The sequence below is a fragment of the Homo sapiens genome, chromosome X, assembly GCF_000001405.40.
Source record: "Homo sapiens chromosome X, GRCh38.p14 Primary Assembly".
Lineage (NCBI taxonomy): Eukaryota > Metazoa > Chordata > Mammalia > Primates > Hominidae > Homo > Homo sapiens.
Genome location: NC_000023.11, coordinates 108,649,722 through 108,671,310, shown reverse-complemented (window position 1 = coordinate 108,671,310; position 21,589 = coordinate 108,649,722). Strand labels below are relative to the sequence as shown.

At 34.3% G+C, this 21,589-nt stretch overlaps 1 protein-coding gene across 9 annotated transcripts in view; it reads right to left on the bottom strand.

Moving 5' to 3' along the window:
- Window positions 1-21,589, bottom strand: part of COL4A5 (collagen type IV alpha 5 chain) — a 257,708-nt gene that overhangs the window by 26,235 nt on the left and 209,884 nt on the right. For 4 of the 9 annotated variants that reach the window (XM_047441810.1, NM_033380.3, XM_011530849.3 and 1 more), the window contains 6 exons: window positions 15,854-15,980; window positions 5,724-5,804; window positions 4,717-4,815; window positions 4,128-4,178; window positions 2,807-2,992; window positions 1,075-1,083 (listed from right to left, as the gene is read on the bottom strand). In XM_047441810.1, coding sequence (XP_047297766.1) covers window positions 1,075-1,083; window positions 2,807-2,992; window positions 4,128-4,178; window positions 4,717-4,815; window positions 5,724-5,804; window positions 15,854-15,980 — 553 coding nt within the window. Of the gene's footprint in view, window positions 1-43; window positions 631-1,074; window positions 1,084-2,806; window positions 2,993-4,127; window positions 4,179-4,716; window positions 4,816-5,723; window positions 5,805-15,853; window positions 15,981-21,589 lie in introns of those variants that run through there. The other 5 variants (NM_000495.5, XM_017029259.3, XM_017029260.2 and 2 more) reach the window with 2 other exon arrangements.

Below are 21,589 nucleotides of genomic sequence, written 5' to 3'. Positions count from 1 at the left end.
GCCAGATATCATGGGGTATACTATTACCTCTTTTGATTCTTTCTTAACAATTTGAAAAGGACTATTTATTTTGAATAACAATAAATACATTCAAATATTTGTGGCTTTTTTTACTGCTAATTAGGTAAACAAACATCTTTCACTAAGAATCAGCAATTTTCCATTAGGTAGCTCTTGGTAATTGTTCTTTGGTGTGTACTGTTTACACATGTATAATGAAAATAAGATTAAGAACCTCGTAATCTGTGCTGGTTGCATTGATTTTTTTTTTCTCTGTGCCTATTAGTCTCGCCCTGGCTGCGGTGCAGTGGTGCAATCTCAGCTCACTGCAACCTCCACCTCCCAGGTTCAAGCAATTCTCCTTTCTCAGCCTCCCTAGTAGCTGGGACTACAGGCGCACACCAACACGCCTGGATAATTTTTATATTTTTAGTAGAGATGGGGTTTCACTATATTGGTCAGGCGAGTCTTGAACTCCTGATCTCAGGTGATCCACCCGCCTTGGCCTCCCAAAGTGCTGGGATTACAGTCATGAGCCATGGTGCCCGGCCCTATTAGTCCATTTTTAACAGCAGTAGAATTGAGAACTTTGTGACAACCCAAAATGTGAAGGTGGGATAGTTTGAAAACCTGCAAAAGATATGGCAAGTTAAGAATTACATATTTTCAAGATCTGATAATACATATTATTGTTTAAAAAAAGAATGTCCTTTTGAAGGATAGTTCAATTCGTTTGCATTAACAGATATAAATTAAACATAAGAAACAGACTCCAAAGAAAGGTAGAATATGTAAGGCTGTTTTCGGTACTACAGATTTTCAACTGAAAATGACACAAATATATGAATTTTTAAATGTTAAATTAGTTTTCCTAGTTAGGTAATTTTGGGTCTTTCCAATAGACAGAAACACTGGGTTCTACAAGTTCCTAAAAACTTAAAGAGATAAGCCACTATGTAAGAATTGAATTGGCACATATGCTCTTAAAATACATTCAAACACTTGAAAACATTTGGTACAGGTATATAAGTTTCAAACTTCATGCAGTTACTACTTTGGAGTTAAGGAGCTAACCTGTAGGACCTGGATAGGGATCAAAGTTCACCAAGGCCCAATGTCATCATTAACAAAAAGGAAAAATATCAAAACTGTTAGAAATATCAAGAAACTAAAAAGCATTACACTAAATACTTTCAAGTTAAAATTCATTTCAATAAAAGAATACTCTGAAAGTTCATATCCATGCATCTGTATATAAACCAAATTATCACCACTTAGTGACAAAACTAAAATGAAAACAGCACACTGTGGCGTATTTTTAAAGGCCAAAAGTCATTGCTATCATAATCATTACTATGAGCTCAGACTAAGAACAATCAATTCTAAGAGCAATGGGGTTTACAACTCAGTTTTAATTTATAGTTTATGAAATAATTTGAGAAGTCACAAACACTCATCAGGTGTGCATTCTTCTAACTACTTTTGTTATTATTTCTTTAAAAATGTAATTTTTAGGACATCTTTGTGACTAATGGCTTCATACCGACAAATTTCAAAGTAAGGTTCAACAGTGAGCTCATTACTCATTCATTACTAGTAAGAACGAATAACCACAGTGATGATTAAAATATAAAAAAGATAATAGTTTGGTTTATTTGAATTACTGCATGCAAAACCAAGCAAGATACTTGCTTCAGTTCTTTACATTACATGCAAGAGAGTTAACATGGCTGAGGAGATTTTCACTGGTTTTCTTCAGTAGTATACAAACATAAAACCTTAAACAATACTTTCCATCAGATTATGTCAGATCAGATAAAATTTGGTTTTGAAAATGATCCTCTGAACACAGTATGTGATCCCATTTAATTCATGTGTTTAGAACATCTTATTAAAATGAATTCCAATCACTTTAGATTTTACTGTAATATAAATAACATTTTTCATTTTGAAATGCACTTATATAATGTCAGAGACTTTCAAAGAATAAAAGGACATTTACTTCCAAGTTTTCAGTGACCAGAAATATAAAATTTGAATATCAAGTCTCAAAATCTGTTCATAACCTATCACCAGTGACTAGGCTCAGTGACATTAATCAAGGATGAAAACGAGCATTTCCAAAATTAGTAAAATGAAATGACACAGCACAGATACAAAATGAAAAGGTGAACATTGGATGCAAAACTGAGACTACTAGAGCAGTGAACACAAGACAAATGAGGTATAGACATGAGGTTGGTATGAAGAGATCACTAGTCAATTTGATCATGCTGTGATGTTGGAGATAAATTTGATTGCCCAGTTCCTATAGAAGATAATTTTTTTAATTGTGCCTGGTGAGATTTGCTGATCATATGACAGAACCAAAGCAATACTTCTGGTATGGACCACAAGCATCTATTGGGTGATCACTAAAATGATTTCTGTGATGACATGCTGAGAAGCTCACATTTAAAAATGCAGATGGCATTTTGCTGACAGGTTAACAGTATAGTTTTACCTTTTAGTAACAAGACTAATAAAACTACCATTTCCTTTATTCCTCCAAATTGTTTTACTTCCTCTATATAAATGATAAAATGCATTACTAAAGCAAATTATTAGAACCATGGAAATAGATGGAGTTAGCTATGAACCAAGCTATTTACTTGTAAGAAGTTATATCACAAATTTTAAAGTCTTTTTTTTAACATCCTCCAATGCACCGGAAAAATTCTAAAGTCTTAAAGACTGAATAACCTGCCAGCAAAACGAAATACATGGACTAATAAATAGACCATTCTCCTACCACTCACGGACATACCTGGTCTCCCAGGAGGACCTTGGGGCCCAGGGTTGCCTTTAGGTCCTTCCAGAGCTGGACCCGGAGAACCAGGAGGGCCTGGGGGACCCTGCACACCAGGGAAACCGTGAAAGCCTGGTTCGCCCTTTGGACCTGGAAGGCCAGGATTTCCTGGAATCCCAGGTAATCCTCCATCACCCTTTTGGCCTATGAAAGTAAAGTATAATTAGAAGATAAATAATACCGAGTTACAAGCTTGCTTATAAGGTTAGCTATTCACATACATTAGGGCAATTAATGGAATTCACAAGAGTCATTTCTATCTCCTACCAAATCCCAAATCTACCCAGAAAACCATCCTTCCTATTAAATATATGCATTTGTTAGCAGAAGTATTTATTAGAGTATATATAGAAATGTAGAAATAATAATAGCTTTCATCCTAAAAGGTATCCTTTGTGTTAAGACAGAGCAATGATACATCACCAATAGCTGTGAGGAAAAAAAGTATAAAGTATCTTCAAAAATAGTTTCAAGATGGCTGGAGGAAATTTCTAAAACAAATATTTTGAGTCTAATTTTGAGACTAATGAAAGATATGGCTCTTCAATGGTTGTCATGTGTCCCCGAAGACCATTCTACCCAATATTTATAATCACCGTCTAGCAAAATTGTTCTCAACATTTTTTCTCTACCTCTGACACTTTTAAGAGCAATGTAACAGTGGCACATTAAAGTAATAATTTCCATGTTGGTATCATGGGAAGGATATCTATTTGACTTTACAGGAGATATGTGTATGGTTTGAGAAAAGTCTCCATAAAATGGCCAGTCGTCATTTCAGAACATAAACATACATGTCTGTATGTACATTCAGTCCTTCTACTATTTGGTGCTCACAGTAAGAGTAAGCACAAAAGAGGGAGGGTAGATGTGTGTGTGCACACACACATCTACCCAAATATGCAAAACATATATTAAGACTGAAATTTCCAGAAACATTTTTATTATTGGCGTATATTTCTACAGACTTTTCTTATTTCTACAGACTTTTCTTATCTTCCTGCAATTTTGCCTTCTTTCTTATTTCCTCAGCACTTATTTATGAATTTAGTGAAGAGATCTCTACATGTAAATTTCCGTAAGGATACATTTTTATTTAACACAACTCCTTAAACTAAGTTGCTAAATAATAAATGTTTTAACGTTAACACTAGGTTTGAGTTTTCTGGGTTCTTACATGCATTTTATGATAGTAAAAGGTGGAGATGGAAAAATAGATGTATTTGGAAATAATCTCATTTTATTATAGATTGATTTAGCATGTTTTATTAAGGTTTACCAGAAAGTCCTGGAAGTCCAGGGGGTCCTGGGTTTCCAAAGCCTGGTTGACCTGTCAGAGTACAAAACAAAACAAAACAAAAACTCAAGTGGATAATACAAACTGAAACAAGGCCAAATTATTTTTAGATCATTGAGGTTTTCATTAGGTGCAGCAATGTATATTATATGAAACATGCAGAAGATTTATTTCCAACACAGAACTGCAATTCTAACATGAGAAAATGATCTAAACATATATTCTATTTCCGATGAATGTTAAATATATCTATATGCTTATAAGAAAAAAATATAAATGAAATATAGATTGCATAGTAAACCACAGAGAAATTTGCAAAGGCTAGGTAACTTCTTTTTGATATAAAAAATTAGACAAGAAAAGATATGGGGTTTTTTGTAAGAGGCAACTTGATCAAGATACATGAGCTAATAGTCTCAGGATGAAGAGGAAGACGGTAACTAGGAAAAGGGGAAAGTGTGTGGTAGCTTAGTAAGAAAGAAGATACAATTTCACTGTGGGTAATAAAAAGGCAAGTTAAATTCAACACAGAGAAAATTAGAAAAATAGGAAAAATGAAAAACTACAGCACCTGGTTCACCCTTCTGTCCAGCTGGTCCAGGAATACCATCTTGACCGGGTTTGCCTTTTTCGCCTGGAGGCCCTGGTTGCCCAGGATGACCTCCACCACCTAAAAAATTGAGTACAGCAGGTTACACCCAGTTTTCCAATTTCCAACTCCCTTTTACTTCCATATGCTCCCTTCTTTATCCAAAAGAAACAAGGTGCTTTTGAGACACTCCTTTGGATCACAAAATGTTATAAAAATATGAAGGAGGATAATGAAAATAAGGAATAGTCATTCAGCATCTAAAACCTTTCAGTTCTTCATTTTAATATAGTTTCAGAATATCTAAGAGAGTAAGGTGCGAAGGGTGGTGGGGAGAATTATAGGCCTCATATGGGGCCAAGAGAAGTTATTTACTTTAGAAATCAATAAACAAACTTACTTACTACAGCCTGCCATTCTAAAAAAATCAAAGCTTCTATTCTAGGACACTTGAATTAACTCTCCCTGGAAAAAGTGGGCCTAGAAAATAAGGTCACATATGATCATTTTAAGTCCTTTTTTTTTTTTCGAGGGTCTTGCTTTGTCACCCAGGCTGGAGTGCAGTGGCACGATCTTGGCTCACTGCAACCTCCACCCCTTGGGTTCAAGCACTTCTCGTGCCTTAACCTCCGAAGTAGCTGGGATTACAGGAGCCCATCCCCATGCTCAGCTAATATTTTGTATTTTTAATAGAAATGGCGTATCACCATGTTGACCAAGCTAGTCTCGAGCTCCTGACCTCAAGTGATCCTCCCACCTCGGCCTCCCAAAATGTTGGGATTACAGGCGTGAGCCACTGTGCCCAGCCAATTTTAAGCACTTTTTATTAAAAGTTATTCATTCTGTACCTCACATGCAGTGTTAAGTGAATGAACACTATATTTCCTTGTGTTGAAAATGTTCACAGCTGAACATGATTTGACTTTCCCAAACTTAATATGATAAACATTAGTTTTATAAAACAGCAAACTGTTATTTTTCATGCTTACCTACAGGACCAGGTTCTCCTGGAAGGCCGGGGTTCCCAGGAGGGCCACTAATACCTTTTGGTCCAGGAGGGCCTGGGGTTCCTAGAGTAAAGAGCTCAATTTAAAAATGAAAGAAAAACTGCATTGCTTTAAGAGCTACAATTCAAACTTACAATTTATAGTGCTAGCATAGAAACAGTGAAGAACAAAAAGAAACCCAAAAGATGCTGGTGTTTGTTGGCTATTTTTAATAATAATTTTATGTTTTTAACCATTTATCCTGAAGTTGGCATTATTATATATTCATAAACATAAAAATAACTACCACCATATTATACTGGTAGGATTTGTAGGACTCCATTATATGAATATACCATAACTTAAAAAATCCATTCCTCTTGCTGGACTTTTGGTTTATTGACAGGTTTTAGTTATTACAAATATCCACTTTCCTATTTATAAAAACCTGTTTTATTTCCAGCTTTTATCTATTATAAATAAAGCTGCTATGAGTATTTCTGCACAGGTCTTTTTGTAGACCACTGCCTTAATTTATCTTAGGTATATAACAAGAAGTGGAATTGCTGGGTCAAAAAGTAGGTATATGTTGTGTTTTATTTAAAAACTGCCAAACCATTTCACACTCAGAACAATGTGTGGAAATTCCAATTGTTCCAGATCCTTGCACAACCTTTGTGATGATATCAGTTGCTGTAATAACAGACATTCTGGTGGGTATATGGAGCTACCTCATTGTGGTTTTAATTTGCATTTCTCTGATGGCTAACGACATCGATCACCTTTTCATGTGATTATTGGCCACTTGTATATCTTCTTTCGTGAAGTATCTATTCAAAGTTTTCTCCATTTTTCAAAATTGGATAATACATCTTGTTATTATTGAGTTATTGAAGTTTTTTACATATCCTAGATATCAGTAATTTGTCAGTTATGTTTTGCAAATATTTTCTCCTTGTCTGTGGCTTTCCTATTCATTTTCCTAGCGGTGTTTTCTGATAAAAGTAGTTTAAAAATTTAAATCTAATCTATCAATTTTTTTCTTTTACAGTTACTGCTTTTTGTATCCTAAGAAAATCTGCCTATGCCAAGTCACGGAAATATCTATCTATGTTTTCCTCTAAAAGCATTATGGTTTTAGCTTTTATGTTCAGACTAAGATCTAATTAAAAACATTTTTTTTTCTGTATGATGTAATGTATGAATTAAGTTTTGTTTTTTCCCCATACGAATATCTAGATGTTTCAGGGCCATTTGTTGAAAAGAATTTGCTTTCTCTAAAAAATTTATTTGATACCTTTATCAAAAGTCAATTTATTGTATATTAGTCTTTTTTATCCTCCAAATTCTGTTTCATTGATCTATTTCTCAATCCTTATCAAGTACCACACATTTTTTTTCTTTTTGTAATGGAGTCTCACTCTGTTGCCCAGGCTGGATTGCGGTGGCGCGATCACGGCTCACTGCAACCTCCACCTCCCGGGTTCAAGCAATTCTCTTGCCTCAGCCTCCCGAGTAGCTAGGAATACAGGTGCATGCCACCATGCCCGGCTAATTTCTGTAATTTTAGTAGAGACAGGGTTTCACCATATTGGCCAGGCCAGTCTCAAACTCCTGACCTCGTGATCTGCCCGCCTCAGCCTCACAAAGTGCTGGGATTACAGGGGTGAGCCACTGCGCCCGGCCTCGTTTTCAATATTGTTTTGGATATTCTATGTCCCTTTCATTTCCATACACATTTTAGAATCCATTTGTCAACTGTTACCAAATAAAGGTTGTTGGGTTAAACTGGAATCACTTTGAATCTATGAATGACTTTAGAGGCAACTGGCATCTTTTTTTTTTTTATTTTAAGTTCTGGGGTACGTATGCAGGATGTGCAGGTTTGTTACACAGGTAAACGTGTGTCATGGTGGTTTGCTGTACCTATCAAACCATCACCTAAGAATTAAGCCCAGCATGCCTTAGCTATTTTTCCTGATGCTCTCCATCCCCCTGACCCAAACACCCTGCTCCACAGGCCACAGTGTGTGTTGTTCCCCTTCCTGTGTCCATGTATTCTCATTGTTCAGCTCCCACATGTCAGTGAGAACATGCAGTGTTTGGTTTTCTGTTCCTGAATTAGTTTACTAAGGATAATGGCTTCCAAACAATTTTGATCTTCCATTCCATAAGTATGATCTATCTCTTCATTTATTTTGGTATTTAAAAGTCTAACATAGCAGGTTTTATAGTTTTCAGTGAATATACCATGCAAATATTTTCTTAAATTTACCCCTAAACACTTCTGAGGCAAGCCAAGATAGAATAAGCCCACTACAGCCTTTTTTTCTCACTGATTATAATTTAAAACTTGACAGAATACAAAAAGCAACTATTCAAAGACCCTAAAATAAATACTAACAAGCATATTTAGGAGGGAAGTAAAAACTTAAATAATGAACAAAAGGATAGTGCATTAGTTTTCTCTTGCTATGTAACAAATTACCACAAAGTTAATGACTTAAAACAATACCCATTTATTATCTCACCATTTCTGTAGGTAATATTCTGGGCACAGCTGAGCTGGATTCTCTCCTTAGCAATGTTACTATGGCTATGATATCACTAGGTGATAAAAGCCTTGTAGTATAGTTTGAAGTTAGGTAGCGTGATGCAACCAGCTTTGTTCTTTTTGCTTAGGATTGTCTTGGCAATGCGGGCTCTTTATTGGTTCCATATGAAATTTAAAGCAGTTTTTTTCTAATTCTGCGAAGAAAGTCAGTGGTAGCTTGATGGGAATACCATTGAATCTATAAATTACTTTGGGCAGTATGGCCATTTTCATGATATTGATTCTTTCTATCCATGAGCATGGAATGTTTTCCATTTGTTTGTGTCCTTATTTCCTTGAGGAATGGTTTGTAGTTCCCTTTGAAGAAGTCCTTGACATCCCTTGTAAGTTGTATTCCTAGGTATTTTATTCTCTTTGTAGCAATTGTGAATGGGAGTTCACTCATAATTTGGCTCTCTGTTTGTCTATTATTGGTGTATAGGAATGCTTGTGATTTTTGCACACTGATTTTGTATCCTGAGACTTTGCTGAAGTTGCTTACCAGCTTTAAGGAGATTGGTTTTTTACTAAATAACCAGGGGCCAGAAATCTTGGGGTGGAGATGGTAGAATTCTGTCTACTATGTAACTCAATAACAAGTGAAAGCACAATGGAAATGTTTTCTAATGAATGACAGCTAAGACAATTTGTTGCCAACAGACTTCACTATAAGAAACACTAAATGAGAACATGCGGTGTTGATTTTTTGTCCTTGCGATAGTTTGCTGAGAATGATGGTTTCCAGTTTCATCCATGTCCCTACAAAGGACATGAACTCATCATTTTTTATGGCTGCATAGTATTCCATGGTGAATATGTGCCACATTTTCTTAATCTAGTCTATCGGTGGGAATTGAACAATGAGAACACATGGACACAGGAAGGGGAACATCACACACTGGGGACTGTTGTGGGGTGGGGGGAGGGGGGAGGGATAGCGTTAGGAGATATACCTAACGCTAACTGACCAGTTAATGGGTGCAGCACACCAACATGGCACATGTATACATATGTAACAAACCTGCACATTGTGCACATGTACCCTAAAACTTAAAGTATAATAATAATAAACTTAAAAAAAAGAAATACTAAATGAAATTTTTTAAATAAAATTACCCCAGAAAACCCACACATTAACAATAAAGCCCGTATGCCAAGTCCAAGGGATACACGTAAGACAAAGGGCATTGGAAATAGCCCTGCTATAACAAAATCTAAAACTCCATCACTGCAGGATCAAGTTGATACCAGGAATTGAACTGCCAGGTAGAACAATATTCAGCATTCTTCAAGAAATTTAATAGAATCCAGAATCTTTATACCATACTATCCATATCATTTAGTATACAATAAAAATTAGCAGATTGGAAGAAACTTGAATATGTGGTGCTTATTCAAGAAAAACAAAACTACCAATAGAAATAGACACATGGTTATCTGAAAATTTGGAATAAGCTGAAAAGATCTTTAAAATAGCTATAATAAATATGTTAAAGAATCTATAGGCAAACATGTATATAATGAGTAAAAAATAGGGAATTTCTGGAAAAATATGATAACTCTTAAAAGAACCAAATGGAAATTAAAATTTTTGTGGCGATTAACAGAATATTGAACACATCAAAAAATCAGTAAATTTGAAGGCAGTGAATAAAAACCATCCAAATTAAACTCAGAGAGAATAAAAATTGAAAACATACCTAGACCCTCAGTGACCTGTGATACAGTATCAAGTGATCTAATATGCACTCCAAAAGAAGAGGAGAAAATACGACAGAAGAAATACAGTTATGTGTCACTTAACAACTGGGTATGTTTTAAGAAATGAGTTGTTGGGCGATTTTGTCATCGTGTGAACATATAAAGTGTATTTACACAAACTTAGATGGTATGGCCTATTATACATTTAGGCCGTATAGCAGAGCCTATTGCTCCCAAGCTACAAACCTACATAGCATGTAACTGTACTGCATCCTGTAGGCAATTATAGCACAATGGTAAGTATTTGTATAACTAAACCTAGAAAAGGTACAGTAAAAATACATTATAAATGTGATACAATGTTACTACAGCTATGACATCACGTGGTGATAGGAAATTTTCAGTTCCATGATAATCATATGAGACCACCACCATATACGTGGTTTGTTGTTGACCAAAATGTTGTTATGTGACACACGACTATATATGAGGAAAAGATAGCTGAGATTTTCCAAAGTTATTAAAAAATAACAACCCTACAGATCCAGGAATATTAATGAATAGAGGGCAAAATAAATACAACCATAACTAACCACAACAAAAAGAAACTATTGAAAACCAATTACAGAGAGAAAATCTCAAATACATCCAGAGAAAAACCAGACATAATATAAAGGAGCAAAATATTAAAAATAATTGATGTGTTATTATCAGGAAAAATGGAGACGAAAAGACAGTGGAAGAAATATTTAAAGTGCTGAAAGCAACAAATATCAAAAAGGGATTTCTATATCCAGTGAAAAATTTATTTAAAATGGAACTAAAACAAAGACATTTGCAGATAAATTAACGGTGAGAGAATTTGTCACCAGCAAAATCATTTTACAATAAATGACGGTGGAAGAACGTCAGGCTTTAGGGAATGATACCAACTAGAAGTCTGCTGCACAGGAGGGTAGAAGAGTAGAAATGTAAATATGTTGGTAAATATGAAAATTGGTTTTGTTTCTCATGCTAAATTATTTAGAAGAAGCTGTTTAAAGCAATAGTAATAGCAATTAATTGTAAAATTTATTACCTATATAATAATCATCTGAAATATATAAACACAATCACACAAAAGAACATTATATGTAAATAAAATTACACTGTTGTAAGAATCTTACATTATATGTGAAGTCACATAATATTAATTTAATGCAGAATGTGGTAAATTATGAGTGCACACTGAAATCTTTGGAGCAATCATTTAAAAATAGTAGAAAGAGGGAGAGCTTAAAAGCCAATAGAGGAGATAGAATGGAATACCACAGCATATCTGATGAACCCAAACAGAACAGGAAACCAGGGACAAAGGAGGAGCATAAAACAAATAGCAATGTGGAAGACTAAAATCCAAACATAACAATATACATTAAATATAAATCAACTAAACACTCCAAATAAACGGGAAAGATTGTTGGACTCGAAAAGAAGCAAGATATGAATGCATTTTATTCCTAAAAAACATATTTTAAATGTACAGACAGGTAAAAATAAAAATTATATAGAAAAAGTTATACTGTACTAAGTATAAAGAATCTGATGTATCTATACTGATATCAGACAAAGAAAAATCCAAAGAAAAGAGTATTATGAAAATAAAGAGGGTCTTTACATAATGATAAAAAGGTCAACTCTTCAAGAAGACATACGTTTCCTGAATTTATATATACCTAATAAAAATATCTCAAAAGACATACAGCAAAAAATTGACAGAGAGAAAAGGAGAAATAGAAAACTCTACAATCATAATGGAAATTTTAACACCTACCTCTCAGTAATTGATAAAACAATTAGGCAAGAAGTTGGTAAGAATACACAAGATTTTAACAACTCTACCAACAAACCTGACCTAATGGACATTTATAATGCAATACACAAATTGCAGAATACAAATTATTTTCAAGGGTACAAGGAAAATTCACCCAGATAAACCCTAAATTTGGCCATATGATAAGTCTCAATAAGTATTAATAGTTAAATCATACAAAATATGTATTCTGGCCACAATAGAATCAAATTAAAAATCAATAACATAAAGATATCTGGGAAGCCCCCAAATATTTGTAAGTTGAGCAACACAATTCTAAATAATCTATGGAGAAAAACAGAAATCAACAGGAAAATTAGAAAATATCTTAAACCGAATGATCAAAGGAAAAACGCAAAAGAACAAAATTTCTGGGATATGGTTTGAGCACTCCTTAGATGGAAATTTAAGTTTTTAAATACATCTATTAGAAAAGACAAAGCTGAAAAATCTATGATTTAAGCTTCCAGGTAAAGAAGCTAGAAAAAGAACAGCAAGATTAAATCCATAGAAGGTAGAAGGTAGGAAATAATACAGATATAAGCAGAAATCAATGGAATAGAAAACAAATGGTAGAGAAAATCACTTACGAAAGTTAATTTTTAACAATTAATAAAGCTTAATGAATGCCTCAGAGGCTTGATCAAAATAAAGAAATAAAATTACTTATATCAAAACATTATTAAAATGCAGACTTCAGTACACATTCTGCAGAAATTAAAGGGACAAAACAAGGATATTATCAACAACTTTCTGCCAATGAATTTGACAATTTAGATGAAATGGTCAATTTCCTTGAAAAACACAATGTATTTAAACTGACATAAAAATAAATCATCTGAATAGTAATATAACTGTTAAAGACTTTTAATCTGTAATTTAAAAAGGTTTCTACAAAGAAAACTACAGATCCAGATTCCTTAACTGGTGAATTCTATGAAACATTTAAAGAAAAAATAGAGAAGGAGGGAATACTTCCCAGCTCATAAGGCCAGCAAATCCCTATACTAAAACATTGACAAGGACACTATGAGAAAAGAAAATCGTAGGCCAATCTCTCTCATGGCCATGTATAATTTTTTAAAAAACAGCAAATCCAGTCCAACAATACTTAAAGATAATGTGTACAGTATGACCATCTTGGAGTTTATCCCAAGAATACAGGGTTATTTTTACATAAAATATCAATCAGTGTAATTCATTATATCAAGAGTAAAGGAGAAAAAACAATTATCATCTCTGTAGATTCAGAAAAAGAATTTGATAAAACTCGCATCCATTCTTTATAAAAATTCCCATTATAGTATGACTAGAAAGGGATTTCCTTAATTTAGTAAAATATATGTGCCAAAACCCTGGCACTAACATTACATTTAATGGAAAAATAGCAATCATTGTCCCTCTGAGTTTAGAAAAAAGATAATGATGTTGACTATAACCACTTCTATTAAACACTGCACTACAGGTCCTAACTGGTGCAATTAAGCATGAAAAAGAAATAAAAGGTATAAAGAAATGAAAAAGAAGAAATAAAAATATCTAAGGTGATATTTTATAAAACAAAAAATTATACAAACTCAGAATTTTAAAAAGTGAAATTGGCAATTTTCTCATATATTATTTCAATATTCCTAGGTCAATTATTTCCATATACTTCCAAGAAACAACTGGAAGATGAACTGGGAAAAGCAATATGATTTAAATGTCACCAGAAAGCATCAAATTTCCAGAGATAAATTTAATAAAATATGTTCAAGATTTACAAAACAAAAAGTGCAGCATATTGTTAAATCAAACTCAATACCTACATAAATGGAGAGATAACATGTTCATTTCATTGGAAGGTTGAATACTGTCAAAATATCAATTCTCCTCTACCTTACCTAGAGAGTTATTGCAAACTTAAAAATCCCTACAGATACTTTAAATGGAAATTGATAAACTGATTTCCCCTGCAAAAAAATTAGAATAGCCAAGACAAGCTTTAAAAAACTGAAACAAATTTCTAGTACTTACCCACCATTTTTCAAGGCTTAATATAAATTTACAGTAATTCAGTGTTGTGTTAAAGCAGCAATAGAAAATAAACCATTGGAACAGTACACAGAGTCTGGAAATAGCCCACCACATGTACAGTCATTTGGCTTTCTTACAAAGGTGTGACTGTAATTTATTGGATGCGTTTAGGTTCTTTAAAAAAAAAATAGTGTAGGGAGCAATTGGATAACTGTGCTGGAAAAAAAATGAACCTTGACCCCTACCTCACACTGTAAAAATATTTTTATTTGAGATAGCTCATAAGCCAAATATGAAAGTTTAAACATGAAACATGTTATAAAAATTAGAAGATTATTTCCATAACCTCAAATAGACAAATATTTATTGAATTGGATAAAAAAATCACTATTCATGAAAGGAAAGATTGATACACTGGATTTTATTAAAATTAACAACTTTTGTTCATTACACAACAGCATTAGGAAAGGCAAATCTGAGGCACAGAGAATAGATTTGCAATATATGTATCTGACAAAGGACTCATATCTTGAGTATATAAAGAACTACTCTGAATCTATTTGAAAAAGGACAGACAATTCAATAAAAAATGAACAAAAGTACTTAAGAAGAAACTTCAAAAAGATGCTATCCAAATGGCCAATAGTATAATAAAAAGATGATTAATACTATTATTCATTAGGAATATGTAAATTCAAACCTCAATTAGATGCTTCTACATACTCATCAAAACAGATAAAATTAAGACCGACACTGCCCAGTGATGGTGAGGACATGGGCAATTGGAGAACTGGATATTTCATACATGGCTGTTGAAACTAATTTACAAACCATGTTGGAAAACTGTTTGGCAGCATCTACTAAAGTTCAATGTACACCTACCCTGTGATTCAGTATTTCTACTACTAAGTTTTTGTCTAAGAGAAATCAATGTATATGTTTATCAAAAGATATGTAAAAGAATGTTAATAGCATTTTTAAAAATAATAGTCCCAAACTGGAAACAACCCAAAAGTCCATCAACAGGGGAATGTGTAATTGACTGTGGTACATTCTTCAATGTAATATTGCATAGCAATGATAAAGAACAAACTACTGACACGTGTAACAAAATAAATGAATCTTTTACACATAATGATGACTGAAAAAAGCCAGATACAAGGATCACTGTATGATTTCATTTATATGAATTTCAATAACATGCAAAATTAACTGATGGTAATGGAAGTCATAGTAGTGGTCACCTCGGGGTTGGGGGGCGTAGGGGCATGGGTAAACTTCGTGGGATGAAGAAACTATTTTATATCTTGATACATATGGTCAATTCAAAGACATATATGTACTTAGGTAAAAACTCATCTATAGTCTTAAGTGTACTTTACTACATGTATGCTTCACTTCAATAAAAAGGAAAGGTTCATTCATCCATGCCACTGTGTAATTCAAAACAAGCAAAAAATAAATTCAACCCTAAACAAGTAGGTACTATAATAATCTAGTTCAGGCTACATAATTGACTATAGTGCTAATCTCTTACTTGAATGGCTCAATCCTTGCCATTTGAAGGAACTGTATGATTGTTCTACCAACCGCTACCAGCGGTGTGCCTGGGCATACCTTTCTAAGATAATCAGCTGCAGGCAGAGGCTTGGAAGTATATATTATTACCTACAAAAATAGCAAGGCTTCTTAAGTGATTTGTGGCTAGCAGTCAAAGATTGAAAAATGCTCCACCAAACAGTCTCTCTGTCCACAGGATATTGTCCTGCTGAGTCAGTAATATTCATTCTCATTTTATACAGAAATAAATTTGGGCAAAGAAAAGGTAAAGAGATAGTTTGAGATTATGTTGCTAGTCAGTATCTGATTGGGAAATAAAATATAAGTCTGCCAAATAAGAAGCTGCTCTGTGATACTGGTTGGAGTAGATAAGGAAGGAAAGAAGGAAGCATTTAAGAGAAGAAATTTTACCTGGGAATCCAGGAAGGCCTGGTTGTCCTTTTGCTCCAGGGGTTCCTGGTAATCCGGGCAAACCAGGATCTCCCACAGAACCTTTGATACCAGGGTTCCCTGGGTATCCAGGCAGACCAGGCTCACCCTGAAAACACGAATAAAAAGATAATACTGAAGTCTCTACACGACTTAGATTGTATAAGAACATAACATTATTTATAGAGCTTTTATTATATGTCAGGCACTCCAGTAAGTACTTGATGTAAATTGCTTCATTTAATCATCACAACAGTTCTGTGAGTTAGGCTTCATTATCTCCATTTATAAATGAGAAAACTGAATCTTGAGAAGCCAAGTGCCTAAGGTTTTTGTAAGTGGCAGAACTGGGATTTGAACCAGACTACAATCAGCTATGTAGCCAATCAGACTACATAGCCCATACTATTCTCACAGTATGTAGATGTATTATTCTCATTAATCCTTAACAACCCTATTAGAAAGATACTGTTATTATTCCCATGTTATAGTGATGGAGCTAGTAAGTGATGAAATCCGAATTTGGATTCAAACAGTCTGACTTCAGAACCTGTGTTTATCATTCCTACTGTGCCATAATGCAATTCATTGCTTCCAGTACACATGTCAACCAAAAGCTATAGTACGTTCTACTGAAAAAGGTGATTTTCACTGTAACATAAGGAAGTCTATCAATTCTTCAGTGGGCATCTAAAATCCCACTTCTGGCTGAGTGTTGTGGCTGTAGCACTTTGGGAAGCCAAGGCTGGAGGATTGCTTGAGCCCAGGAGTTTAAGACCAGCCTGGGCAACAAAGGGAGACTCTGTCTCTACAAAAAATAAAAAAGATCAGCTGGGCGTAGTGGTGCATGCCTGTAGTCCCAGCTACTCAGGAGGCTGAGGTGGGAGGATGGCTTCAGCCTATGAGGTCAAGGCTATATTGAGCCGTGATCATGCCACTACAGGCCAGCCTGGATGACAGAGGGAGCCCTGCCTCTTAACAAGAAAAGAAAAATCCTACTTCTTCCATGAAGCATTCCTGGGCAAAGAGAGTTTACCCCAAGAGGTTAGGGTAGGTTCTTACTCTGTCATGTCTACAATGGCTTCATATATGCAGTCTTAACTCCTTAATTACATTGAAAGTTTATTTTGGGTAAGAGATAATTCACATATGTATAACCGTTTTTGCTCAATGAATATTTGCATTAAGGTTTTTTCCAATAGAGCCTTAGAAGAATTCATACCCACTTTCACAATTAAAACAAGTTTTTCCCAATAACAATGGCAACATATACCTTAACACTAAATCTCTACTGCAGGGCTTGCTGCTCTGCGCATGAAGATCAGGACCTTTACAATAAGGTGCTAGTGTTCAACATCACCTACTGAATACTTCCTTCCTCACTTAGTACATACACTTGCAGGTGAGTAAGATCTATTTTTGACTCATGTTTCTGCATTATGGTAATAGCTCTTTAAACTAAAGTCTCTTTTTCCTTACATCCTATTATTTAAAAAAATTAAGAATCTTGGGCTGGGAATATATACATTTTTTCTGAACCTTGTAAATCAAATATCTAGTTCATTTTGAGGCACATAATAGGTATACAATTAAATTTTGGATTGAATTGGTCCCATCTTAGGTGTTTACATGGGAAACCTTTGAATAAACTATCATGATTCTTTTTGTTATTCATGAAAAAATTAAATGTATATACCAAAATAAAAAACAAGAAAAAAATTCCACTATTCTGCTAGTGGTAAATCTGAAAGGCAGAAGGCAAACTCTGGATTATTTATGATACTAAAGGACATTAAATTCTAAAAGTACAGAAATTCTTCCTTATCCATGGTTTTGCTATCCATGGTTTCAGTCACCTGTGTTCTGAAAATATTGAAAATTCCAGAAATAAATAATTTATGTTTTTAATTGCACGCCATTTTGTGTAGCATGATAAAATGTCATGTTGTCCCATTCCATCCCTCTCGAAACCTGAACTACTCCTTTCCCCAGCATATCCATGCTATAAACACTACCTGTCTATGAGTCACTTAGTAGCTGTCTCTGTTACCAGATGGAAAAAAAAAACCACACAGTATATAAAAGGTTAGGTATTATCCACAGGTTCAGGCATCCAACGGGGGGTCTTGGAATGTATCCCCCTTGGTAAGGGGGGACTACTGTAAGCCCAGTCTCTAAGTTCAGCCAGCACTTGCCCTCAATACCGTTTCTGTAATCACTCTTATGGCCCTACTCCTTCAAACCAAGTACCTTTTAAAAATAAAGTAAATATTTTATTAGGGCTTCTGAAAAAAACACTGAAATTTGCTAGCTTAAGCTTTATCTAGCCTTTTATTATTCACACACAAACTCATTGAAAACAATGAATTTCAAAAAAGGAAAGCAAGAAGAGATAAAGAAGACAGTGCTCAGAAAATCTACAAACTGGACACAAATCACTCTGAGAAAGGAAAATTCAAATCTATTTGCACTTCTAGGTAGAAGCGATTTGAATGACTCGGACACACAGCTGCAAATATCTACATCTGTTCTAATGTCAAGCTTTGATATAATTCTGAAAATGAAATATCTCATACCTAATAAGTCACATTTACCATTGTGAAACTATCTAATGACTATAGTAACACTGAAAGACAAGCCTGAAATTAGAACTGCTTTCAAGGTCACTGTGTTGTATCACGTAGAAAAAGGAGTCAATTTGATATCTTCTTTGTTGTTAAGATTCAAATTGTAATGTAATGGTATTTGGATCATAGCCAATCTCTACTATGTCCTAGTAATAGCATCTTCTCCTCCATTCCATACTATAACCCAAAATTCAGAATAAACTTACAGGCTTGCCCCATTTTACAGAACAGAAGACATCTATTGGTAAAAAAGCTAATCACTTTTGTTCTTGCATTCCACTGTAAAACTAGAGAAGCATTGCCACTGGGGGAAACAAAGACAACAAAAGGAAAATATTTGAGGAGAAAGAGTAAACATCATATCTTGCTTTATGCAAGAAGAATATTACAAGAGTAGACCATCAGTTGGAAGTTGTGGTTCCCACATAATTGTTAATGTTTTTACAACCTTATCTGTATTTGGAGATTAAAGACCATGAACAAAACCATAAATAGGTTCTATTTTAGACCCAGAATATTAACAGAGGGAAATTTAAAAGTGCATGCAGAGATACTTTTTTAAAGCTTTATTAATTTATATATAAAACTGCACATAATGCATACATACTTATGAGTTTGGATATATGCATATACCCATGATACCATAAGCACAATCAAAGTACTACACATATCCATCACCTCCAAAAATTTCTTCATGTTCTTGTGTCGGGGGGTTGTGGTAAGAGCACTTAACATGAAATCTATCCTCTTAACATATTTTAAGGTGAACAATACTGTACTGTCAACTGTAGGCACCATATTGTATAACAGATCTGTAAAACTTACTCATCTTGCATAACTGAAGCTTTATATCCATTGAGCAACCATTAACATTTTAATTATCTAGAAAAGGAATTATACAATAAGACCTTCAAATTTGCATGTTATTTAGCTCTTCCCAGTAGTGAAATGTTAAGCTAACAGTAACAAACTGATAAATAATGGCTCAAGGCTGCCTGAGCAGGCCAAAGCTGCCACATGAAATTCAATAGTAGTATGTCTAAGGTAATGATGAACTTAGAGAAAAAGAATATGAACTAAACTTAAAAGATAATGAGCTCTATACTACCCTTTACCATGCAAGATAGGCATAATAGCAAATTGCTCCAAACATCAGCTCAATGAGCCTACAGGTGGCTCAAAATACTAAAGAAATATTAAAGAAAAAATATGATTCATAAATCATGCTATTCCATACTAGCACAGCATGTGTAGTTCTAGTAATCACAGCACATACAATTACTTAAAATGTGCCCAAAGTTAATTGTGGGGAAAATCACACCCATTTGTTCATCAAATCTCAGGATTCTAGAACTAAAAACATCCTAAAATAAAGATAGTAATTTAAAGACAACTAAAAACATTACATGTTATTAGCAGAAACTTTGTAGATTTTCTATAATGTGCATTGTTTTAAAATAACTTTATTGAGATATAATTTATATACCGTACAATTCATCCACTTAAAGTGTACAATTCAATGTTTTCAGTATCTTCATAGGATTGTACAACCATCATCACAATCTAATTTTAGAAAATTTTCCATTTCCCCCTAAAAGAAACTGTACACATTAGCAGTCATTTCTCATTCTCACTCCCTCCAAGCCGTAGCAAAACCTAATCTGCCTTCTCTTTGTACAGATTTGCCTATTCTGGACATTTCATATAAATGAAATCATATGATATGTGGCTATTTTGTGCCTTGCTTATTTCACTTAGCATAATGTTTTCAAGGTTCATCCATTTTACACCATGTATCAGTACATCATTTTTTAAAATTGTCAAATGATATTCCAGTGTATGGGATAGCACACTTTGGTTTTTGTTTGCTTGTTTTTTTTAATTTTTCCATAAGTTATTGGGGTACAGGTGGTAGTTGGTTACATGAGTAAGTTCTTTAGTGGTGATTTGTGAGATTTTGGTGCACCCATCACCCAAGCAGTATACACTGTGCCGTATTTGCAGTCTTTTATCCCTTGCCCCACTCCCACCCTTCCCCACAAGTCCCCAAAGTCCCTTGTATCATTCTTATGCCTTTGCGTCCTCATAGCTTAGCTCCCACATATCAGGGAGAGCATACAATGTTCGGTTTTCCATTCCTGAGTTACTTCACTTAGAATAATAGTCTCCAATGTCATCCGGGTCGCTGCAAATGCCATTAATTTATTCCTTTTAATGGCCGAGTAGAATTCCATTGTATATATGTATATATACCACAGCTTATCAGTTCTTTGATTGATGGGCATTTGGGTTGGTTCCATAATTTTGCAACTGCAAATTGTGTTGCTATAAACATGCGTGTGCAATTATCTTTTTTTTGTATAATGACTTATTTTCCTCTGAGTAGATACCCAGTAGTGGGATTGCTGGATCAAATGGTAGTTCTACTTTTAGTTCTTTAAGGAATCTCCACACTCTTTTCGAGAGTAGCTGTACTAGTTTACATTCCCACCAGCAGTGTAGAAGTGTTCCCTGATCACCGCATCCACACCAAGATCTCCTATTTTTTGATCTTTTGATTATGGCCATTATTGCAGGAGTAAAGTGGTATTGCATTGCGGTTTTGATTTGCAGTTCCCTGATCATTAGTGATGTTGAGCATTTTTTTTCATATGTTTTTTGGCCATTTGTATATCTTCTTTTGAGAATTGTCTATTCATGTCCTTAGCCTACTTTTAGATGGGATTGTTTCTTTGTTTTTTGTTTTTTTTTCTTACTGATTTGTTTGAGTTCGTTGTAGAGTCTGGATATTCGTCCTTCGTCAGATGTACAGATTGTGAAGATTTTCTCCCAGTCTGTGGATTGTCTGTTTACTCTGCTGACTGCTCCTTTTGCTGTGCAAAAGCTCGTTAGTTTAATTAAGTCCCAATTATTTATCTTGTTTTTATTGCATTTGTGTTTGGGCTCTTGGTCATAAAATCTCTGCCTAAGCCAATGTCTGGAAGGATTTTTCCAATGATATCTTCTAGATTTTTTATAGTTTCAGGTCTTAGATTTAAGTCCTTAATCCGTCTTGAGTTGATTTTTGTATAAGGTGAGAGATGAGAATCCA